This window comes from Homo sapiens, chromosome 2 (genome assembly GCF_000001405.40).
Source record: "Homo sapiens chromosome 2, GRCh38.p14 Primary Assembly".
NCBI classification, from domain to species: domain Eukaryota; kingdom Metazoa; phylum Chordata; class Mammalia; order Primates; family Hominidae; genus Homo; species Homo sapiens.
Window position 1 is genome coordinate 171,054,848 of NC_000002.12, and position 26,289 is coordinate 171,081,136.

A 26,289-nucleotide genomic window follows, 5' to 3' on the forward strand; every position below is an offset into this window, starting at 1 on the left:
ATCAGTAAACAGAACTGACATGTTAACGGTTGTTTAAAAAGCTGATAGTAAATTGTGTGTTTCAGTTTCTCACTCCTTCCTACAAATTCTGTTGTTTTTGTTTAGTAAGTTATCTTTCTTGATGTGTAATTCTGCTTTATGACTACATATAAAACAAACAGACATCTTAGTTGTTAGTAAGTTAGTCAATGGTTTCTTAGAAGCCATAGAAAAAAACATTTTAATTATCATTTACCTGAATAATTTTAAAGGATAATTGCTTTGGTTGTACAATAGGGTGGTCCCCAAATGCTAATGCAGTAGGAGAAGGGCTATTCGGTCGAACCTAAAGAAATTATTAAAATTTTTATATTAGCAAAAAAAAAAAAAAAAAACACAAAACAAAACAGATTTCTAATTAGCAACAATTACTTAACATTTCTGAAGAAGTTTCTATCAGAATAATACCTAAATTGAAACATAATTGACTTTTAAAACCTTTAATCACCATTTATTCAACAAGTGTTCATTAAGTACCTCCTACATAAGACCCAGTGAGAAATACAACAATATATTCCCTGCCCTCATAGAGCTTACATTCTAGTGCCATAAAAGAAATCTTAATGCTTTCATACAGTTAAAAAAAAAATAAGGCCAAATAAATTATTCTGAAAAATATTAAACAATGATTATGATAGTTGAAAAAACAAACTTACTAGGGACAATAATACACGCCCATATGTAGTTTAATATCAATTTATCAATGAATTTCATAGTTTATCTGGTCACTAGTTCAAAAAGACACTCACTGAAAGCAGATTATAACATTGTATCAGCGCTATCACTACAACTCTTAGTTACTGTTGAATCTTATGCCTTACTTTTATACACGGCAATGTGATATCCTGAAAGGTACAAAATGAGTAAAACAAAACCAAGTATGTCTAAAGACAAAGGACAAGAAGGGGACACAAGACATAAAAACAAGATGTTTGAATAAATAAGTGAAACTCTGATTTTTAAAAATCTTTAATTCCTCTTTAAATTACTGAAAACCAATATTGTTTTTCTAGTTAGATATTGAACTTTCACACAATGAAAGTAAATTTAAAAATGAAATCCAATATGCAAAACAATGCATATAAAAGAACTATATCTAAAATGTTATGAAAAAACCAAAAAGTTTAAGATAATTTTAAGTCCATGATTCTTTTCCTATACTGAACTACATACCCTGCCTTTTTCTTAAGGATTCCCAGAAAGGAATTATGCTATCATTTTAGTGGTTAAGAAATTCAATTGTTAAGAAAGTTATAAATTAGGAATCAACAACTGAATACAGACTGATACAAGAGTACTCATGTTAGTCCCACAGACTCAACAGGCATTCTTTTAACATAAACAATGCTTCTTGGATATAATTAATTCAGAAAATCTTTAAGAGGCTCACTTCCAGAAATAAAATTCCAATAGCACCAGATAACTTAAAAGGATTTAATTCATGTCACAGAAATAATGTATTAAAAGATAAATGCTAACTTATTTATATAGAAGTTCTCAATAAAAAACAACAAATTATAAAACTTATTCAGTGTACATAACCCTCCCAAAGACTACACATGAAAAACTTGAAAGATGACTTACAGATGAGGAAGGAGTGGAATGTGAATGTGAATTTTGAGGAGAACGGATTGCAGGAGGTATGCCTCTTACTGGACTTGAGCCATTTCCACCCTGGTACTGAGTAAAAGAAAAAGGAAGCATTATTATTTACTAAAGCAGGCTCAGACAGTTATTTCAGATATGACATTAAGAATTAATCTAAATATACCTAATTTTAAAATAAGTAGTCATTTAAATGGGTCCAGAACAAAAAAAAAAAACACAAGGTCAGCCAAGTCCTAAAAGACTAAGAGACTACTGATCACAAGAACATGACGAGACTGTTTTATAAAGATCCTTATTACTCTATATTCTGACTATCATCTGTTATTTTGGTCAACTCAAAGACAAATAAATTCCTCCAAAGCAATAAACATATTTTGTTTTCCCCCCAAATCTTAGCACAGGTCCCCTACAAATGTTTATTGAGCCATATAGTCCCTAATCCCAAGAAATTTCAAAATGTTTACCCATAGACCTTAGTGAACATAATCAACTATTTTAAACAGAATATCATTCTCAAGATACCCAAGTGTTCATGGCACTATATAAAAAGAATTATAATAGGTCCCTTCCCTCTAACAGCACAAAATCTTTAAAAAATCAATTCTTCTGTACAAAGTGCATGACTTAGCTGCATATGAAGAGAAGCCAACTGATCTATTCCATAGCTATCTTTTCTCCTATTTCAAGTTCACATACGAAGGATGGGAAAAGAAAATAACTTGCTGCAGCAAAGTTCCTCTGGGGGTGTAGATTATTGTCCATTTCATCATTTCTTGTTTAATTACTTTACTTACATGAACAGCACAGATAGGAACTTCCCAGCATGTTCATTAAACAACTTCCTGCAACCTAGGGATTTTGCCTTATTTATTTTATCAATAGAGCCTAGCATAAAATTTAGCACATAGTAGGCATTCAAGAGACATTTGTTGATTTGAATTCATCGTACCTTTGGCAAAGGTTCTTAATTAATGATATCAGTAAGTGACTGACCTCAACCAAAGAGCATCAGGTATCTCATGGTCAGCAACTGCTTTACTTTAGATTTTACGAACCCAAGAAAGAAAGCAGTGGTGGAAAAAAAAATCAGTCCTTCCCTTAATCAGCCAATTCTGCTCTCTCAAGTAAACATAAATATTTTTCAATTGAGTAGACCATGTTTGTTGTTTTAATAATTACACTTGATAGTAGAAAGAATTCTCAACTAGAGAGCCAGTGAACTTTAACTTCTATTCTTTACTCTTCAATTCAGACTTTGCCTTAAATGGGTTAACCCATTTATGCCTAGTGTTCTATTATTGCTCAAGGTCACTGCTGCCACGGTCTGACTGCAAAAATTCAAAAAATTACGGTGTAGGCTACTTTACATTTCTGGTCTTCAGTTTCATCATCTGTAAACTGAAACACTAATATGTATTTTGCCTATCTTACAGGTTATTATAAACAACTATGTGAGAAAGTATTTAGAAAAAAATGATATGGCATCCCAATGTAAATGTAAATCTAATTTTCCTAGAAAGATATCACATAGTAATAAAGCTCTGCTCTAATCAAGTAAGTAATCAAAAGCTGACCTTGTGCTTCTAAGAAATTATTTCTAGCTCACAGCAGAATAGTACTGAATTAGGAAATGGAGACAATCCTCAATGAACTTACTTCAAAATAGTCGCTAATTTTGTGGCCACGTCCCCCAATACTTTTTCCTAAAATATAAGAAGCGCATGATGTTAGTAGGGTAGTGATGGGCATCAAAAAAATATTAAGAGTCCGCAGGACATCAGCTATCAATTTCACAAATATGAAAATCAAATGACATTTCAATAGAGACATGCCAATTTTTAAAAGTTCCAGTTATTGGAGAATCTTACAAATAAATGATGTAAGTGATGTCCTGTTTTAAAACTACATTATTAATACTGCTTAATAACTACTAATTTCAGAAAAGCAAATCAGTAAATAAAAAAGTAGCGACTGCATCACTGACAAACTAACCTTTACTTGTAAATAATAATAAAACAGCTTTAGTTATACAAACCATAACATGATTCCTGTCAAACTGACAGTAACACACTTCAATAGGAATGTTATTTTGTAAAATGTATTTTGATTTTCTAAAAAGCATTCCCAAATTAAATACAATGTTTTTTAAAAACTAGATTGTAAATATTGCTCATATATGACCACGCTGACAAAGTGAACCAGCTCATTAGAGATCACGCTATTTTTTAAATATTTTGCTCTAAAATGGATTCTTCATCAGTCCTGTAAGTTTTAAATTAAGAACTTGCTAAGAAATACAATGTTTAGAGATGCTTTCTTGGGGGAGAAGTAACCATCCTTGACTGGAACTATACAGAATACACGATTTCTTCAAGTTACAACTAGTGATATCACAAAGTCAAAAGCTTTGCTTAATATAAACATACATATATTTGTTAATTCAATGCTGACTTATTTCATGATTCATTTATTTTATTTAACAAATATTTCTTAAGTGGTTACTATGTGCCAGGCATTACTAAGATGAAAAACAGTATTCTTAAAAGTTTAACAACTTTAAATTCCTTCTTGGAACAAGGTGGGGGGAATTTTTAAAAACTAAACAAGTATTCAGGACTACCAATGCTACCTAGAAATTTTGAACATTAGTTCTGCACAGATTTATTTAGAGGTCAGAGATGACTGTAAAGGTCTTATACTAAAGGGACTTCCCTTCTGTCCATAATAATTTCTCTGTAGATTCTAAAGAGGTACTATATTTTAATGAAGACAGATGGTTTTGGTTGCCTACTCCAGAAGCTATTTCCCCAATTCTCTTTCCTTAACTGAATGGAAATTTTGTTCTGTTAACACCCTTCACCCTACATGGCACATGTAACTTCAGAGGAAGCTGACTCCTATACAACTTCCACTTCCAGGTCCCCTTCTCACCTTCTTATTAGAAATCCAATTTTGTTCAAGTATCATCCCTTCTCCATACAGGCTGTATGTTTAAGAACTTAATTCCATTTCCAGGTTCAAAGATGGCCCTGATTTTTTTCTTTTTTTAAATTTCTGACACTATCCACCTACAGATGGCCTGATTTTTTTTAAGGCAATAGTACCTCTGTTGGTCCTAACTAGTTTTGGAATGGACATATGACCAATCTAGTCCATAAGATCAGTAGTTCCCCACCTTTTTGGCACCAGGGACCAGTTTTGTGGAAGACAATTTATCCACAGACTGCGGGGAGTAGGGGAGATGGTTTTGGGATGAAACGGTTCCACCTCAGATCATCAGGCATTAGATTCTCATAAGGGAGTGCATAACCTGGATCCCTTGCATGTGCAGTTCACAATAAGGTTCACACTCCTATGAGAATCTAACGCTGCCGCTGATCTGACAGGAGGCCGAGCTTAGGCGGTAATGCTCACTGGCCCGCTGCTCACCTCCTGCTGTACGACCCATTTCCCAATAGGCCAAGGACTGGAAGACCGGGAGGTTGGGGAACCCTGCAGAAGATGAGAGGAGAGGTCTGCTTTGGACTTGAAGTCAAGTTTACTCCAAAGGAAGGGGGGAAAAAACACTGAAAGCCAGACTAAAGCAAATATAAGTGAGGAAGGTGAAACAAGAAAAAACAATTTAGGCAACCATCCTAAAAACAAAGATAATCAGACAAATCTGTAGATGGCAGACCACAAAGGAAAAAAACATGGTTCAACCAATCCAGAAGCCTCATCTTATTCGGGGGCTTGTTTTTGAGTTTATATCTTTACAATAAATAAAGCTCCAAGTCCACTAACTACAACCTGGGGGAGGCTACACTAAGACCAAAAAGGAGCTCAGTGTAAACTGAGATACAAAATACAATACACCTCAGAAAAGGCACTAAAATGACTTACCCTTCCTTCCATAAAGACAGTTGCTGCAAATACATTCCTTGCTTCCAGTGCCCTATATACACCAGTAAGTCATGGGTTCACAGCCATAGATCTTATGGCTAAAGATTGGCTCCAACACATGTAACATTATGTATAAAGTCATCATTATACACGATTTAAGAGCCCAATTTATTATATTTAATTTTGAGTGCTCAAATTAAATGACAACACTATTTTTCTATTCATTATAAGATATTTAGTTAAATGAAAATAATTTTCTTAGTTCATATCACAAAAAGTAGGTATGCAAGAAAGGATGGAAAGAAAAACAGATAATACTTTAACTAGAGTCTCTCATAATTATTTTGATAGCCTTTTTTTTAAATAAATGGGAAAAGTTTGAGTAGTTCTGTTAAAGTGAGATTGAAGTTTTTAATTCAAAAACAAGCCATTTCAATACAATACATATAAAGAATGAAAAATGAAAAGTCATAAGTTAATGCTTGCCAGATTTGGACATGATACTTGTCTTTCTAGGACCCAAATGAAAACAATAAGGGCAACATTGAAAAGCCTAAAAGCAATCATTATACACTAACTACCTGTGCACACACCAAAATTTACAACTTCATATTATTTTACAATTAGAGTATTAATTGGTTAAAAATTAAAACAATTAATTTTAAGTGTCCACTAGGCTCTGAAGGAAGATGTTATGTGCTTACCCTGACTACTTTCATTCTGGTTTTCTGCTTTTCTCTTTCTTCCCCTGGATGATTCCGATTGTTTCTTCTCCGGTGTCTACAGAAAACAAGATAACAGATTTTTAAATGACAGTTTTAATATACAAAATTATCACAGTCAACATAAAACCATGTTTCGAGACCAAAAAAATAGCATTCAGTAGTGCTCAAGAGATGTTAATATACTGTTATTTACACACAATTTATTTAAAAGATAAAATTTCCTATTGTATACATTTTAAAATTCCAAGTAGAGAAGACCTTGTACATATTATCTGATATTCAGTTACAGAATTTGACATGAAGTGGATGAAAAATCCTAGAATAATTAGCCTTTAAAAGATGACCTTCAAATGCTTAACTGGATGAGGGGGAAAAAAATCACCTTAGTGTTTCCTATGAGTTTTTTCCTATTAAGTTTTTCCTTAGTTTCCTACTACTCAAACATACTTAGTGTATAAAAGTAAACTTGGATGAGAAAAAAGGGGCAGAACACAAACCCTGATATACACAATCCCTACTAAAAAGGACCATCCACGTAAATGCCTGGCAATTATTATCCAACCGTTATAGCCAATTCACAGATTATGCCCCAGATAACGGATCAGTAAACTATGGCCTATGGGCCTAATCAGTTTGGTCACCTGTTCTGTATGATCGAACCATAGCTTTCACACTTTTAAATGTTTGAAATTTTAAAAATTCAAAACAAAAAGAATATTTTGTGGTGTGAGAATTACAAGAAATTCAAGTTTCAGTATTCCTAATAAAATTTTATTGGAACACAGCCACACTCTTTCATTTAGGTATTGTCTATAGCTGCTTTTACATTACAACGGCAGAGCTGAGTAGCTGCAACAGAGTTGGAATGGCCCATAAAGTCGCAAGCATCTGGCTTTTTACAAAAAAAGTTAACAGATCCCTGCTCTAGATGGTGGCTCTGGTTCCAAATGACATGTGTGTTCCTATAACAGATAGAAAGTATCTTCATTAGACTAATACAAGTAATTTTTCTGGAGTTTGACAAACTTTCCTGCTTAGTCAAAAATTAAAACCAAGAGCAAAAGCACAGGCAATGGCACCAGGCCCTCAAATTCTAGAAACGTGGTAAGCACCTCTGGTGCCAGAAAAATTCCTGAACTTCACAAGAGCTCCACTAATATTTGACTGAATGAATGAATGAATCTTACTAAACAACTTAAAATAAATCTCTTAAAAGCATCATGGTCCCCCAACAAGGAAGGGATTTAATCCGTATTTTCATGTCTCTGAGTGGGCCTACAATTAAATATATGAATAACAATACATAGCCTAATTCTTATTGAACACATATTGTTCCTCTAAGTACCATCTTGAGTATTTAAAGTTCTCCCACCTCCATTTTGCCAACAAGATAACAGATTCAGAGAAATTGGACCAAATGTTCATAGCATCTGAATTCTTTAAATACAGATGTTACATCTTCTCCCTATCTCACCCTCTTACCCCACCCCTAGCATACAGTTATTACTTGATAAATACATGCATGAATATTAAGTAACCTACTCAAGGTAACACTACCAGTGTGGCAGAGCCAGGATTCAAATTAAATTCAGTTCTGTATGATTCTAAGACCTAAATGCTCTTTATTTTTTCTATGATATCCTACATCAAGAACTAACTAAATGAATCTACTATACAAAAATATTTCAGAATTTTACTGTTTATGAATAAAACTCAATATGTCCAATGAAATGCCAGTATGTTTTCATTTCACAAACCAGAAGTCTTAAAGAAATCCACCCTAACTGGCCATCTACTCAGGAGGTAGACTGATGTACCAGCAATTTTGGGTAGGTAGTTTACTACTTTTGTTTCATTGTCAAAATTACCAAACTCAAACAATAATCAATCTTCTGTTTTCCTAGAAATAAAAATATCACTACATTAAAAATTCTTTTAACATTTATTAAAGAACCCTAAATCGGCCGGGTGCAGTGACTCATGCCTGCAATCTCAGCACTTTCGGAGGCCGAGGCGGGCAGATCATATGAGGTCAGGAGTTCTAGACCAGCCTGGCCAACATGGTGAAACCCTGACTCTACTAAAAATATAAAAATTAGCCGGGCATGGTGGTGCATGCCTGTAGTGCCAGCTACTCGGGAGGCTGAAGCACAAGACTCGCTTGAACACAGGAGGTAGGGGTTGCAGTGAGCCAAGATCACACCACTGCACTCCAGTTTGGGTGACACAGCGAGACTCCATCTCAAAAACAAAAGAACCCCAAGTCTACGTTAAAATAAAAGATCCCCAAATAATAATTTATTCATATCCTTCCTAACTTAATTTATATATAAAAAAGCGAAGAAAACATAATTTTTCAGAATCCTTTAATGTTATACTAATTTTTTAAGCATGGCAGGATCCTATTCGAATTCCATCTTAAATCTTGACTAGGTACTCTTGAACAGGCAAAAATAGGGGGGAAAAACCCATACAAAATGTTATAATTCTGAAACAGTTGTATTGGAAACAGCATTTTCTAGCTAGAAAACAAAATAAAATGTAAAGTTCAAAATGGTTCTGTACCATTTTCTAAAGTATATCCTAAGGAACTAGTGTTCAATGGTAGGTTGAGAAGACTATGTTCTAAATGAGGGTAAAAAGGGGTGAGTTCAAACGGGGTAAACAAAATTAGATTTCTTTACTGCAAGGCTTCTCAGAACCATCAAAATGCTAACATGCACTGGCTATCTCCAAAAGAGGGATGAGGTGGGAAGATACAATAAATTTTCAAAACTTATTTGAGACAACATTCGTTAAATACTTCACTGGATATGCACTTCAGGATATTTAAGGTTGTTTTGTTGTTTAACATACAGATTACTTAGTTTTGTTGTTTAACATATAGATTACTTCGTGAAGCCTTTTTCCTCTGAGGCAGAATTTCCCAGTGTGGAGGTATGGGACAGTCCATTGGCAAAAATGTCTTTTCATTAAACCAACCAAAAAGCAAACGAATGCATTATAATTATAGTAAAGAAGGCAACAAGTTTACCTCCTTTAAACCAGAGAAGAATTTACAGATGGAGAAGAAAAAGGGTAACAGGACTAAAATTAATTTTAAGACTGTTGTGCCCCAGAAGTTATTAAAGGGGAAGGAGAAGGGAAGGAAGTGTGTGGCTGAGTTAAGGCTCCAGCCTACCAGAGACATATCCTATGTTACCTCTACCCTGAATCTGCAAACACAGCATCTCCTATTTTAATATTGAGATTCCAGATGAGATTTCCTTTGAAAAAATAGTTCGACAGCTTTTAAAAAAAACTACTGATCATGACCAATGATTTCCTTGAGGAAATCCAAAGGACATCAACCAGGCCACCTATGTATTTGCTAAGGTATATAATGTGCACATATTAAACATTTTATATAGAACATTTTCAAGACTGCTCTTGCTAATAATGCTGTCATTTCTTTCTTTTATTCTCTATTTTTTCTTAGCTATCCTACTATAAATAGACCACTAAAGAAAAGATTAATACGGAAGGCAAAATAATAGGATTTGGCTTTGAAGTAAAGATGAAAAGTATTCAGTAATTATAAAAGGCCAAAGAGCTCCAATATACAATGAAACAGTCATTAGGAGAAAATGAAGAAAGGAGAGACTAGTACACTTTAAACCAAGTTAGCTGTGTAAATGTTAGATTTGTAATCATACCAAAACCTGAATGACTACTCTGGCATTTAGAGATTCCAAGATATTAGTGTGAATTTACACAGTATTTTCTACCAGTTGAAAGTTTGTTGAAAAAACACAAAGACAAATTTAAAGGACTCAAGAAGTGTAGTGATATAATTTAACTAATCCTCCAATTTTACTTGGAACTTAGGTCAGTGATTATTAATCAAGGTTTTTATATCTAATCATGTAGCCTGCTGCTTTTATCTTATAATAAAATATAAAGGAGTCTTTCTTCAATGTAAATAAGACCAAACATAAGAACACATGAATCTCAATGCTGTTACAGTATGAGGGACAGAAATCAATATGAATTATTCCATGAAAACAGATAACCACCTGTATAAGCCTCAAACTAGAGAGAGATTTAAAATTATGGAAATAAATGCATTACAGAAAATTTTACAGTATACAAAAAATATTTTAATAGCAACAAAAAAAGAGGGAATGGATATTAAAGTTTGTTCTTCATTGGGCCTCACTGAATAGACAACAAAAATCAGGTATCATCATCTCTAATAAAATCACTATAGTTAATAGACACAGAATATTTCTTTTTGTTAAACAAGAAAATACTTTAAAACAGAAACAAAAGTTACTCTAATATTAAATAGTATCCTTACAAAATATTCAATCTTCAAACCTGACAGAATGAATTTTTTTCTGACAGATCCATTCAGCCAAAGACTGGTTTCAAAACTGCAACTTCACTGGCTATTCTTTCTTTTTTTTTTTTTTGAGACGGAGTCTCGCTCTGTCGCCCAGGCTGGAGTGCAGCGGCGCAATCTCAGCTCACTGCAAGCTCTGCCTCCTGGGTTCACACCATTCTCCTGCCTCAGCCTCCCAAGTAGCTGGGACTACAGGCGCCCGCCACTATGCCCGGCTAATTTTTTTGTATTTTTAGTAGAGGGGGGTTTCACCGTGTTAGCCAGGATGGTCTCGATCTCCTGACCTAGTGATCCGCCCATCTTGGCCTCCCAGAGTGCTGGGATTACAGGCGTGAGCCACTGCGCCCAGCCCTCTCTGGCTATTCTAATGATTCATACTTGGGTACCAAATTCAAGGGTACTATAATTTGAACAAATGGCATGACAAACCTTTTTGCTGGCAGCTGGTAAAACAATGTTCAATTTTTATCCACATTTCTAGGCAAAACTTGTTGAACTAGATGTGAGACAGGAAAATGTTTGCTGCTTTGTATCCTATTTACATATAAACGTTACCATGAAATATGCACATCCGAATTCAAGGATGATTTTGAGCTGGTATGACCTGAAATTCACATAGTCTGTCTCTGCCCAAGAGTTAAAACTTTAATATTGATAACTATTATCTGTAAATATTTACTTGAACCTTTGACCTCTAAAAGAAGATCTCTACTATAATGCTGATTTTAATATTTAGTATAAAAAATTTATGTATGTAAAATTTTGGAATCCTATCATCAAATAAAAGCATTTCCTTGCAATTCTAAGTAAATCAAAATCATCATATCAGCAATTTGGAGTGTAGTATATTTTCTGCTGTACTGCCTTTATTGTTTAATAACGTGTAATATAAAAGATGGTAGAACACCAGTAAGAAGAAATTGGGTAACCACCCAACTAAAATATGTGCTGTCTTACAGGTATACTTAAAGTATGCCACCTCATACATTTTTGTAAAGGCTGAAGGACTCTATTTACACATGCACAGCATTCACAACCGTATCAGTACTCCAAAGAAATGTAATATTAAAACAATTATTTTATGCTCAATTTTTAACAACTACCTAACTTGACATCCTCACATTGTGACTTCTTAAACTCCTATCACTTGGACCCACTGCATTCACACATGTTTAAAGGAGTATACTAAGTTTTTAATATTGATGAAAATGATTTTGTCTGTTATTTTCTTATCACTTACGTAGTCTATTTCCTGGCACTTTCCCTTCTCTGGCTATCCCTTTAAGGCTTTATTTGTTAAACAGTATATACTATAAAATTAGAATAAAGTTGAACTTTCTCCCCTACTCAAATTACCTTGCCAGTAGTTTTCAAATCATACAAGAATAAAACAGCCATTTAGAACAACTGCTGAAGGGTGGGGGTTGGGAAGTAACACTTTCAGATAATTTATTCTGGAAATGTTGGCATTTTGAAAGTGCTTGTAATAGTCAAATTCAGAGCTGTGGTCTCACAACTTTTGACCCATTGTGACACTCACAATGGAGTAACATACTCCTGTATCATACCCCTACAAACATTCCTTTGAACACGAATCCCTAGGTCTGTACAATTATTTCTCTGGTATACATACTTTTAAATGTAAATGCTGTATCACAGAATATGTGCACTTAGGTTTTTTTTTTTTTTTCTGAGACAGAGTCTCACACTGTCACCCAGGCTGGAGTGCAGTGACACGATCTCGGCTCACTGCAAGCTCTGTCTCCTGGGTTCATGCTATTCTCCTGCCTCAGCCTCCCGAGTAGCTGGGACTACAGGCACCCGCCACCACACCCAGCTTGTTTTTTTTGTATTTTTAGTAGAGATGGGGTTTCTCCATGTTGGCCAGGATGGTCTCGATCTCTTGACCTTGTGATCCACCCGCCTCGGCCTCCCAAAGTGCTGGGACTACAGGCATGAGCCACCACGCCCGGCCACACACTTAGATTTTTAAAGATAATGCCAAATTGCACATTCAAAGCCAGTATCAATTGACATGTTTACATTAACACTGTATAAGACTACTCACCAATCCTTTGAGATGTGATGGGTAAAAAAGTGTTACTATTTTTCTCTATACCAATACAACTTTTTTTTTATTATTATACTTTAAGTTCTGAGGTACATGTGCAGAACGTACAAGTTTGTTACATAGGTATACACGTGCCAAGGTGGTTTGCTATAACCATCAACCTGTCATCTACATCAGGTATTTCTCCTTATGCTATCCCTCCCTCAGCCCCCACCTCAAAACAGGCCCTGTTATGTGAAGTCCCCCCAACCGCCCTGCCCCGTGTCCATGTGTTCTCACTGTTCAACTCCCACTTAAGAGTAAGAACATATGGTGTTTGGTCTTCTGTTCTTGTGTTAGTTTGCTGAGAATGATGGTTTCCAGCTTCATCCATGTCCCTGCAAAGGACATGAACTCATCCTTTTTTATGGCTGCATAGTATTCCGTGGTGCCAATACAACACTTTTAATCAGAAAAAAAGTGATCTTTTTTTCCTGAGACATGGGATCAGCCGGGCATGGTGGCTCAAGCCTGTAATTCTAGCACTTTGGGAGGCCAAGGTGGGTGGATCACCTGAGGTCAGGAGTTCGAGACCAGCCTGGCCAACATGGCGAAACCCCACCTCTACTAAAAATACAAAAAAATTAGCCAGATCTGGTGGTGAGCACCTGTAGTCCCAACTACTCGGGAGGTTGAGGCGGGAAAATTGCTTGTATCTGGGAGGCAGAGGTTGCAGTGAGCCAAGATCGCGCCATTGCACTCCAGCCTGGGCAACAAGAGCAAAACTCCGCCTCAAAAACAAAAACAAACAAAAAAAAGAAAGATGGGGTCTCGCTTCATTGTCCAGGCTGGACTGTAACTCCTAGGTTCAAGTGATCCTCCTGCCTCAGGCTCCCAAGTACCTGGGACTACAGACATGTGACCATACCCAGTTTCTTTGTTCTTTTTTTAAATTGCTCTATCATATCTTTATTAGCATTGATTCTCAATGCTGACTATACATCAATCATTTATAAAGCTTTTATTTAAAGCTTATGCTGGAATCTCCAGTCCAAATTTAACCATCTCTGGAAAAAGACCAAAGGAATCATTAATTTTAAAAAGGTCCAGAAGTGATGTTATGTATCATCAGGATTAGGAACAGTCTGTCTGTCTATCTAGGTTTATATATAAAATAGTACGTTGTATAGTTCCCACATACTCCACTTTACAGTATCTCTAAAATTAAGAATGTTATTCCTTAAAGTCTTCCCATATTAAAGACCAAAATTATTACATATAGCAGAAAACTAATTAGGTTATAAAAAGTCAAATGGGTTGTCATGGTTACTCAGTTATTTTAGAAAAATGAGAATCTTAAAGAAAATTCACTGTGTTCTACTGACATAAAAATACATCTTTCTAATATTTTTTAAACTAAAGAATAAAATTCTGAAACAAAATTTGTCAGTAATGTCAACTTGTGCTCAATGCTTTAAAAATCCAGTCTAAAAGCAACATTTATCAGATTAAACATTTGTGAAGTGCTGTTAGCTCAGGTATATCTTAGATTGGCAAATTTGATAATTACTGTAAGTTATCTGAAATCTAAATATTTCCAAAGAGTACCATTTTTGTCCAAGACTTACCAGGGTAATTTATATAACAAGTTATATACTATCTTAGTTATATGGAAAGATTATAATAGCACAGTAGTTGAGAGCATCACTTTGAAATAAGGCATACTTTGGGAATGAAATTCTGACTCTGTTAACTTGTATCTGTGTGACTATGGACAAATTATTTACTCTGAGCACCGGTTTCTAAATTTAGACATGTAAAACTTAAGAAGTCGCAATCTAGCTCCATTGGTAACAGGCTAAAAACTTTCTTTTTTCTCCTTCCAGTAATGAGTTGGTTCTCAACCAGGAGAGATGGTATTTGGCAATACCTAGAGGCATTTTTGGTTGACGCACTGAGGATGGCGGTAACAAGGCTGTAGATATCTAATGTACAGAGGCAGAGATGCTGCTAAACATCCTACATTGCATAGGACAGGAACCCCACCCCTCAAAATTTATCCAGTGCAAAACGTCAATAATGTTAAGGGTGAGAAACCTTGCTTTGATGAACACATTAAGAATCATTTGTAGTTGGTACATAAAACTAACTGTACGGTGTGCTTTTTTACTTTCATTCTGAGTTTACAGTGAAAATTACCAGAGGCTATATGACATGTGACGACATCTCACTGGATGATTTATGGATTATGTATTCGTGAATTCTAGGGTTACAACATTTTGTTTGAAATCCTAAAATGGTAAATACCAAATAGTTGTAACCAACATAAACAAAAGCTCTTTAGGGTCCTTCAATTTTTAAAGTTAAAGAGCAGTCCCTGAGACCCAAAATTTGAAAACTGCTTTTGTAGATACACTCATCCTGATTGTATACTAGGAAATGCTAGCAAGTGAGATGAGTATGCTAGAGAATAAGTAGTAGCCTATTAACGAGGTGGGTAGACAACAGCTATTTACTGAGCACCTATTATGGTAAAGAACTATACTGGGTTCCACTTTAAAAAAATATCTTCACTCTCTTACAGTAATAGGCCATTTTTCTCTTCCAATCTTGTTTCCACCAATCAGCTTAGAAGGTTCCTTTTTAAATTTTTTTTTTTTAATCATTGTGGGTACACAGTAGGTGTATATATTTATGGGGTACATATTTTGATACAGTTGTTACAAACAACTGTAACACAAAGGTGTTACAAACAATCCACTTATAGTTTTTTTTTAAATATACAATTAAATTATGTTTGACTATACACACTCTGTTGTGCTAGCAAATACTAGGTCTTACTAAGTCTTTCTATTTTTGTACCCATTAACCATTCCCCCTCCCCACCACCACCACTCTTCCCAGACTCTAGTAACCATCTTTTTACCCTCTTTCCCCATAAGTTGCATTGTCTTAATTTTTAGCTCCCACAAATAAGTGAGAACATGTGAAGTTTGTCTTTCTGTGCCTGGCTTATTTCACTCAACAATATGACCTCCAGTTCCATCCATGTTGTTGCAAATGACAGATTGCATTCTTTCTTATGGCTGAATAGTACTCCACTGTGCGTATGTACCACATTTTCTTTATCCATTCATCTGTTGATGGATGCTTGGGTTGCTTACAAATCTTGGCTATTGTGAATAGTGCTGCAAAATGGGAGTGCAGGTATCTCTTTGATATATCAATTTCTTTTATTTTGGGTATATATCTAGCAGTGGAATTGCTGGATCGCACGGTAGCTCTATTTTCAGCCTTTTGAGGAACCTCCGAACTGTTCTTCATAGTGGTTGTACTAATCTTCACTTCTACCAACAGTGTATGAGGTTTCCCTTTTCTCCACATCCTTGCCAGCATTTGTCATTGCCTGCCTTCTGGATAAAAGCCATTTTAACTGGGGTGAGATGATATCTCATTGTAATTTTGATTTGCATGTCTCTGATAAACAATGATATTGGGCACCTTTTCATCAAGTTGTTTGCCATTTGTATGTCTTCTTTTGAGAAATGTCTCTTCAAATCTTTTGCCCATTTTTAGATTGGATTATCATATGTTTTCCTACAGAGTTGTTTGAGCTCCTCATATATTCTAGTTATTTATTCCTTGTCAGATGGATAGTTTGCAAATATTTTCTCCTACTCTGTGGGTTATCTCCTCGCTTTGTTGATTGTTTTCTTTGCTGTGCAGAAGCTTTTTAATTTGATGTGATCCCATTTGTCCTTTTTTTTTTTGACATGGAGTCTCGCTCTGTCGCCCAGGCTGGAGTGCAGTGGCGTGATCTCAGCTCACTGCAAGCTCTGCCTCCCGGGTTCACGCCATTCTCCCGCCTCAGCCTCCCGAGTAGCTGGGACTACAGGCACCTGCCACCATGTCCAGCTAATTTTTTGTATTTTTAGTAGAGACGGGGTTTCACTGTGTTAGCCAAGATGGTCTCCATCTCCTGACATAGTGATCTGCCTGCCTCTGCCTCCCACAGTGCTGGGATTACAGGTGTGAGCCACCACGCCTGACCCCATTTGTCCATTTTTACCTTTGGTTGCCTGTGCTTGTCGGGTATTACTTAAGAAATCTTTGCCCAGACCAATGTCCTGGAGAGTTTCCCCAGTGTTTTCTTATAGTAGTTTCACAGTTTGAGGTCTTTTTAGATTTCAGTCTTTAACCCATTTTGATTTGATTTTTGTATATGGTGAGAGATAGGGGATCTAGTTTCATTCTTCTGCATATGAATATCCAGTTTTCCCTGCACCATTTATTGAACAGACTGTCCTTTCCCCAATGTTTGTTCTTGGCACCTTTGTCAAAAACAACTTCACTGTAGATATATGGATTGCTATCTGGATTCTCTGTTCTGTTCCACTGGTCTATGTGTTTCACTGATCTATGTGTCTGTTTTTATGCCAGTACAATGCTGTTTTGATTACTATAGCTTTGTAGTATAATTTGAAGTCAGGTAATGTGATTCGTCTGGTTTTGTTCTTTGCTCAGGATAGCTCTGGCTATTCTGGGTCTTTTGTGGTTCTATACAAATTTTAGAATTATTTTTTCTATTTCTGTGAAGAATGCCATTGGTATTTTGACAGGGATTACATTAAACCTATAGATTGCTCTGGGTACAATGGACATTTTAAAAGTATTGATGCTTCCATTCCATGACCATGGAATATCCTTCCATTTTTTTGCATACTCTTCAATTTCTTGCATCAATGTTTTATAGTTTTTATTGTAGAGATATTTTACTACTTTGAGTAATGTCTAAAAGCTGGGTGCGGTGGCTCACGCCCATAATCTCAGCACTTTGAGAGGCCAAGGGGGGCGGATCACTTGAGGTCAGAAGTTCGACCAGCCTGGCCAACATGGTGAAACCCCATCTCTACTAAAAGTACAAAAAAATTAGCTGGGTAGGCCGGGTGCAGTGGCTCACACCTGTAATTCTAGCACTTTGGGAGGCCAAGGTTGGTGGATCACCTGAGGTCAAGAGTTTGAGGCCAGCCTGGCCAACATGGTGAAACCCCATTTCTACTAAAAATACATTTAAAAAAAAATATTAGCCAAGCGTGGTGGTGGGCGCCTGTAATCCCAGCTACTGGGGAGGCTGAGGCAGGAGAATCACTTGAGCTCAGGAGGCGGAGGGTGCAGTGAGCTGAGATGACATCATTACACTCCAGCCTGGGCAACAGAACAAAAACTCCATCTCAAAGAAAAAAAAATGTTGGGTGCAGTGGTTCGCTCCTGTAATCCCAGCTACTCAGAAGGCTGAGGCAGGAGAATTGCTTGAACCGGGGAGGTGGTGGTTGCAGTGAGCTGAGATTGTGCCAGTGCACTCCAGCCTGGGCAACAGAGCAAGACTCTGTCTCGAAAAAAAAAAAAAAAAAGATTAATGTCTACATATTTCATAGTATTTATAGCTATTGCAAATGGGATTACTTTCTTGGTTTCTTTTTCAGATTGTTCACTGTTAGCATATAGAAATGCTACTTTTTTAATATTGATTTTGTATCCTGCAACTTTACTGAATTTATCAGTTCTAATAATTTTTTGGTACAGTCTTTAGGTTTTTCCAAATATAAGATTATATAATCTGCAAACAAGGATAATTTGACTTCTTCCTTTCCAATTTGGATGCCCTTTACTTCTTTCCCTTGTCTGACTGCTCTAGCGAGGACTTCCCATTCTATACTGAATAAGTGGTGAAGGTGGGCACTCTTGTTGTGTTCCCTTAGAAATTTCTTGCTGTAACAAACAACCACTGAACCACATCGAATATACTTTTTTAAAGGGTAACATTTAACAGCTGTTTGTTTGCTTGCTAAATAGCTTACAGATCCATTTCATGATTTCATGACCTACAAGAACTCAACTAGACAGAATATATCAGAATTTCCAAGCAGGGAGCCTGGCTACTCAAACATTAAAAAAAGCTTCCTGAAGAATTCTGATATACATATTCTTCTACCTTTATGGAAACAGATGTATACAGCCAGGATGAGACTCACATTTGGTTTCCAGTTCACTTTTCCTTCCAAGAGACTAATAAGCATGAACATATTCAAGCAGGACTCACTTCCTTTGCTATGAACCCGGTTAATACAATATATTTTAGTGTCAGATACTCTAATTTCTGCCTGAATATAGGTCTCTAAAAGACTGTGTCCTTCAATATATAGTGGTGAATTAAATACTGTTTTCTCTTTAAAAAAAAAAAGTTACAAAGTAATTTCAGGTGTTTCACAGGAACTTTTAAGTCTAATAATTCATGATTATTTGTCTTAATAACAGAGAAGAGAATAAACTTAACATTCCCCCCCCCCCTCCTTTTTTTTTCTTTCTTTTTTTTGAGATGGAGTCTTGCTGTGTCACCCAGGCTGGAGTGCAGTGGTGCAATCTCGGCTCACTGCAACCTTGGCCTCCTAGGTTCAAGCGATTCTCCTGTCTCAGCCTCCTGAGTAGCTGGTATTACAGGCATGTGCCACCACGACCAGCTAATTTTTGTATTTTTAGTAGAGATGGGGTTCCACCCTGTTGGCCAGGCTGGTCTCGAACTCCTGACCTCAGGTGATCTGCTTGCCTCAGTCTTCCAAACTGCTGGGATTACAGGCATGAGCCGCCCCTCCCGGCCACATTCCCCATTTTTTATGTTACAAAATAATACTATTTTCCATGTGTACAAAGAGTACTTGCTTTCAAGACATCATTACTGTACATATTTGTTCATTGTATACAGCAACATTGTTGCATATCATGCCTCAGTAAAAACAATGACATAGGCTGGAGGTGGAGGTGTAGTGGCTCATGCCTGTAATCCCAGCACTTTCGGAGGCCGATGCAGGCAGATCATTTGAGGTCAGGAGTTTGAAATCAGCCTGGCCAATGTGGTGAAACCTTGTCTCTACTGAAAATACAAAAACTAACCAGGCAAGCTGGTGGGTGCCTACAATCCCAGCTACTTGGGAGGCTGAGGCCAGAGAATTGCTGAGCCCAGAAGGCAGTGGTTGCAGGGAGCAGAGATCGTGCCATTGCACTCCAACCTGCGTGACAGAGCGAGACTCTGCCTCAAAAAAAAAAAAAAAAAAAGAAAGAAAGAAAGAAGAAAAAACCAATGACATAAAAATAGTAAGATTTCTGGTAAGAACAAAGTGAGAACATACTAGCAGGAAGATAAATAAAAGACAGAGGAGGTCAACAAGTAGAACACCACAAACATCATTTATCACACTAACATATTTTAGAAAATAATTTAGACAGCAAGATAGAATATGTCTTAAAATTGATGATAGGTGTCTAACATCTTAAGGAGGAGAACAGATTTAAAGAGAGTTAGTCAAAAGCAAGGTAATTTATTCAGGAGTAAAAGGCCTAAAAATGTAACTTTCAGTGATACTTATCCCATCCAACAGTAAATCGATTTTTAAAGTCTCTCTTCTTTCTTACTAGGTACTCAGAGTAAGGCATTAAAAAAAAAAAGATTTCTCCAGGTCACAGTAAATAAATATAGATAAATTAAAATTTAATGAAAATGTTAACAAAACTTAAGGCCAGTATTACCTCTGTTTTCAAATAGAATCATAGCTAAGCACTAGTGCTTAGAATACACTAAGCACTAGCTAAGCACTAAGCATTAAGAGGGCAAAAAAGAAGGTATGAGAAAGTAGAGGTGGGTATGTATATAAAACAAGGTTAAATCAGGAAATGCTCTAGATGCAACAACTGTCCCAGCTTCCACATATCCATATAATTTAAAATTAATAACTCGAAAATCCCAAAATATACTTTGATGAAAAATACACAGTAATTTAAGGTCAGTGGATAAAGGCTTAAGACTTGGTAGTTACCCATGAAAAATGGTGGAAAACTACTTTGGTTATAGAGATAGTATATATTTTAACTTGTTCAAATTTGATTGAGATTATACAAAAGTATTCTGAAAGATGAATATTAAGGATTAAATTGAGAAAAACAGAATAATTTGATATATGTCTGCTTTATAAACATGAATATTATGGAGTATATTGTATATAAGCACACGTATAAACAGACATAACTGTGCTTCTCCAACATTAATTATTAAAAATGATGTAATTAAATGATATGTTCAGTCACAAATATCCCAACTTCAGTAAGAAATAAATAAAGCAGATAAATGTATCCTAGGGCATCCAAAACGAGAAGAGGAAAAATGGTTATGCTTTTAATAATCATTAAGAATTCCAAATGAGCTAGAAGATACATAATCTAACTTAGCATCTTGGGCTTAGGTATAGACAGCAACTGTACAGAATCTGAAGGTGCTATGGTTTGACTATGTGCCCTGAAGTTCACGTAGAAACTTACTCCCCGTAGTAAGAATATTAAGAGGTGGGAGGGAGGCAGGTGCGGTGGCTCTTGCCTGTAATCCCAGCACTTTGGGAGGATGAAGTGGGCAGGTCACTTGCGGTCAGGAGTTCAAGACCAGCCTGGCTAACATGGTGAAACCCTGTCTCCACTAAAAATATAAAACTTAGCCAGCCATGGTGGCGGGTGCCTGTAATCCCAGCTACTCAGGGGGCTGAAGGAGGAGACTCGCTTGAACCCAGGAGGGGGAAGTTGCAGTGAGCCAAGATCATGCCACTGCACTCCAGCCTGAGCAACAGAGCAAAACTCCATCTCGGAGGGCGGGGGGAGAAAAAGAGGTAGGGGCCTCATGAATGGATTAATGCCATTATTGTGGGGATGGGTTCGTTACTGACAGAGTGGGTTCCTGATTAAAAGGATGAGTTGAGTCCAATTCTCCCTCTCTGTCTCACACGCTCACTTCTGCCTTCCATCTTCTACCACGGGGTGATGATCCTCACCTGATGCTTGACACCATGCTCTTGGACTTCCTAGCCTCTGGACCCAAGAGCCAAATAAACTTCTGTTCATTATAAATTGCCCAGTCTGTGATATTCTGTTAGAGCAGCAGAAAATGAACTGAGACACAAGATCATTGTGTTTAGATAGTGAAAGTGCTACAAGAAGAACTGCAAATGGGTGGATCAAGGCAGGTTTTAAAACTTAGAAAACACTGAGCAGGACGTGGTGGCTCACACCTGTAACCTCAGCACTTTGGGAGGCCGAGGCGGGCGGATCACAAGGTCAGGAGATCAAGAGCATCCTGACTAACACGGTGAAACTCCATCTCTACTAAAAAAAAAAAAAAAAAAATACAAAAAAATCAGCCAGGCGTGGTGGTGGGCGCTTGTAGTCCCAGCTACTCAGGAGGCTGAGGCAGGAGAATGGCGTGAACCCGGGAGGCAGAGCTTGCAGTGAGCCGAGATGGCGCCACTGCACTCCAGCCTAGGCAACGAGTGAGACTCTGTCTCAAAAAAAAGAAAGAAAGAAAGAAAGAAAAAAGAAACACTGGTACTCAAGAAACACGGGCTCTTATCTTCATAAAATAATGTGGGCTGTTAGCCAGCAGGTCAGGTACATGACCATATTTCTAACTCCTTCAGGTATTCTAAAAAATTTAAATAAAGGATGAGTGGCCCTGGTAAACTCTCTTCTCTGGTCCTCTGATAAAATTTTTATCAGTCCTCAAATCCACAACCCACTCACGCTTCTTTCCTTTCAGCTGATAACCTATTTTCACTGTGAAGTAAGAGAAAAAGTTATCAGATATGCAAGTTCATCTACCCCAATTCAGGGGAAAGATGTTCCTAGTCCTGTCTATGAATAACCCTGCCCAACCAGGGTCTGGATTTCACCCATTCATTCCTCCTCCAGGAAAAGATGTGTGGTTTTATTTCTCTTTTCCCTCTCTCTTCAGCACTTTGTCTCCATCACAGCTCTGCTATGACTCTTTCCTTAGCACATGATATGTCAAGCCTGTCTGACTCTAGATACTGTCTCCCTTCCTTCATAGTCAAGGTTCTGCCAAAAGCAGTCAATATTTGCTGTCGCTATTTCCTCACTTTCTAATTTCTCCTCAATTAACTACAATCTGGCATTTTGTTCCCATTAATCTACTAAAATTAAGTCTAAGTGTCAAATTCTTAGTCACTTTTTACAGTCCCTATCTTAAATGACTTCTATGACATTTAATTCCACTTACTATCACTTTTGGGTCTCAGGATCCCTCTGTAACTTTTAAAAAATTGTTAAGGACCCCAAAGAGCTTTTATTTACATGTGTATAACTATCGATATTTACTATTTTAGGATTTTAAACAAAAACATTATAACAATAGAATATACAAGTGTAAAAGAATACAAATGAATAAATCAGAGTGATGATATCACGTTATACAGCTTCTGGAAATTTTCATTGTGAATTCATGAGCTAATGAAAGTTAAAAAGTCAAATAATGTGTTGGCGCTTTTATAAAAAACACTTGACTTTGTGGACTCCTTGGAAGAATCGCAGGGGACCCCTAGAAATCCTCAAACCATACTCTGAGATCTGCTTATCTACAACCAAGCCTTTTTAATTAACACCTATGCCAAAGACCCCTAGGTCTTCTTATGTAGCCTGACCTCTTTCCTGAATTCCAGATATCTTCTACTGTGCCATCTACACTTGTTATCTTCCTTCTGTGATGCCCATCTCAATCAAAGGCACTCTAGCTAGATCCCTTTGAATCATCTTAGGCTCCTCCCTTTCCTTCTTTATGCTAATTCCAAGTCATCAAACCCTACTGATTCTACTTTTTAAAAATCTAATGAAATCTGCTGGGCTTGGTGGCTCACACCTGTAATCCCAGCACTTTGGAAGGCCAAGGCAGGCAGATTATGAGGTCAGGAGTTTGAGACCAGCCTGGCCAACATAGTGAAACCCCGTCTCTACTAAAAATACAAAAATTAGCCGGGCATGGTGGCGCACACCTGTAGTCTCAGCTACTTGGGAGGCTGAGGCAGGAGAATCGCTTGAACCTGGGAGGCGGAGGTTGTGGTGAGCTGAGATCACGCCACTGCACTCCAGCCTGGGCAACAGGCGAGACTCCGTCTCAAAAAGAAAAAAAAAAAATCTAATGAAATCTAGAAGCTTGTTGGAAATGCAAAATTCTACCCCAGACCTACCGTCATAAACATTAAGTGATTCATTCGCACAGAACAGTTTGAGAACCACAGCCTTGGGTGGTGATAGTCTCAGTAACCAAAGTTAGAGAATCTGAAAAAGGCAGAGCCCAAACAGCAAACTTGAAAATACTAGTTAGAAGTCCTCTTATCTCAAGTTTTTCCTCCTAATATTAAACCTTGAAGGTTATAGAGTTTTATAAAGAAGGCTGTATTCCTTAATTAAGTGATCTTCCTAACTTGGGTTTCATGTCCCTCCAACGCAATCCTCTACATTCCATCTGTGGGAGCCTTTCACCTCTACTTTGTCTTTTGTTTCCCCTGTTTCAATGGCTCTCTACCTGAAGTCCAAATTCTTTACTATGAAATACAAGGGTCTTCAAACCTGACCCCTGCCTACCTTTCACCATTCCTGCATATAGTCCCTCTACCAGAAGTTTGAAAACCAGTGGAATCACTGAAGCAGCTGGGTATTTTTTAAAGCTTTTCCGGAGATCTAAAGAGCAGTAGTGGCTGAGAATCACTGTCCTCTCTTAAACCAAACGACTTGTCATACTCCCACATAAAAGCAAACACATATCCTAGTCCCTCTGTATACCTTCTTTTCATACTTCACTCTGTCTTATGGGATGAATTCACAGCCTCTCTTAAAAACTCGACTATCATCTCTTCTTTGAAGGAAGACCTCTTTGCTTCCTTTCCCCTACAGGCAAATGGAATTGGTGGTTTCTTGCGCTTTGCTTCCATAGCATCTTGTGCTTCTATCTGTTACAGCACAGCCTACACTGTCATGAGGCAGACTGTCTAAATGTTTGTTCTACTAAACACTGATTTCATTTGAAGGCAGGGATTGTATCCTATTCATCTTTATATTCTCTGTGATTGGGCAGAGACTAAAAGTTAATAGATATGCAATAAATGTTTACTGAAAATATCCTGAATTTTTTGGAGCCTGCTGAATGGACCAGGAGTGATGTAAAATAAAACAAAATCAAAACAATACCTTCTTACCTACCATCTTCTTTTATTTACGAGAGGAAAAACTTTTTCATTCTATTTAATTCCACATTTAGAAAAAAAGATTCATATATAAAATAAACCGCATACAAACTGAAATAAAAATTTCACTTGAAGTAGATTAATCAACTTAACAATGACAATTGGATGCTTTCCAGTTTTAATAGTAAGGGTAGAAGAAAACAAGAGGATTCTGGATGTCTGAAAAAGAGTACTGGGTAGGAGAAAACGAAGTACAGAAAAGGGATTGTGGTGAGTTAAAACCATCACAAATCCTAAGAGGGATTCAACAGAAAATGTCCAACTGGTGAACTACAATAGGGTATGCATATTAATTATATTAAAATATGGATATAAATTTCAGGAATCCAGGGTGGGGTAAGGGTGGTAGGAGAAAGCAATTTTTTTTAAAAAAAAAGTAATAAACTGTCTGGGCACGGTGGCTTACGCCTATAATCCCAGCTATTCAGGAGGTTGAGGCAGGAAAATTGCTTGAACCTGGGAGGCGGAGTTTGCAGTGAGACGAGATCGCACCACTACACTCCAGCCCGGGCAAAAGAGTGAGACTCCATCTCAAAAAAAAAAAAAAAAAGTAATAAACCTTCCAGTACTATTTGCTCCCAAAACCAAAAACTACTATTTTAACAACTGTAGTAAATTGGAGAATGGATTACCAAAAGAATAGTGACATCAGAAGACAATGAAATACTTCATAAACTTTACTACTAGGAGTACTAGGAAAAACAAAAGTACTTCTATCCTGCAACTGTTTCTTCTCATGTTTACTTAATGATCTATAAATATCTGTATTTTGATATATATAAAATTTCACCCCAAAGGAATTCATTAATTATCAACTATACAGATAAAACCTGGGAATCATTTTCCAGATAAGCAACTCCTTAAATGGAAAGATACACTAAAATAATAATAATAATAATAATAATAATAATGGTAATAGTAATTATTTCTTTGAATCTTAAGGACAATGTATAATCTGTAGTCATTTCTGTGCCACTAGACTTAACCATTAATTTGTAAAACTCCAAGACAGAGAATGCAGAACAGCAAAAGTCAAAAGATTTTTCTTTTTTTTTTTTTCTTAAGACAGGGTCTCACTCTGTTGCCCAGGCTGGAGTGCAGTGGCACAATCATGGCTCATTGCAGCTTCGACTTCCTTGGCTCAAGTTACTGTCCCACCTCAGCCTCTCGAGTAGATGGGACTACAGCCACGTGGCACCATACCCAGCTAACTTTTTGTGTTTCTTGTAGAAATGGGGCTTTGCCATGTTGCCCAGGCTGGTCTCGAACTCCTGGTCTCAAGCAATCCTGCCTAGGCCTCCCAACATGCTGGGATTACAAGCGTGAGCCCCCGTACATGGCCCAAAAGATTTTTCAAGATTTTCTACTGCTGCCCCAAATGTCAAAACTTCAATACAGATAAAGCTAAGTATATCCAATGATTAACCAAATTGTGTTTCATTTCAAATGCCAGTATGGTCTTTTAAGAAACAA

At 36.8% G+C, this 26,289-nt stretch overlaps 1 protein-coding gene across 6 annotated transcripts in view; it reads right to left on the reverse strand.

The window, feature by feature from the left end:
• Positions 1-26,289, reverse strand: part of TLK1 (tousled like kinase 1) — a 240,471-nt gene that overhangs the window by 64,025 nt on the left and 150,157 nt on the right. For 5 of the 6 annotated variants that reach the window (NM_001136554.2, XM_017005422.3, XM_011512238.4 and 2 more), the window contains 4 exons: positions 6,234-6,309; positions 3,304-3,350; positions 1,624-1,719; positions 236-325 (listed from right to left, as the gene is read on the reverse strand). In NM_001136554.2, the coding sequence (NP_001130026.1) occupies positions 236-325; positions 1,624-1,719; positions 3,304-3,350; positions 6,234-6,309 (309 nt within the window). Of the gene's footprint in view, positions 1-235; positions 326-1,623; positions 1,720-3,303; positions 3,351-6,233; positions 6,310-11,994; positions 12,127-26,289 lie in introns of those variants that run through there. The other variant, NM_001136555.2, reaches the window with a different exon arrangement.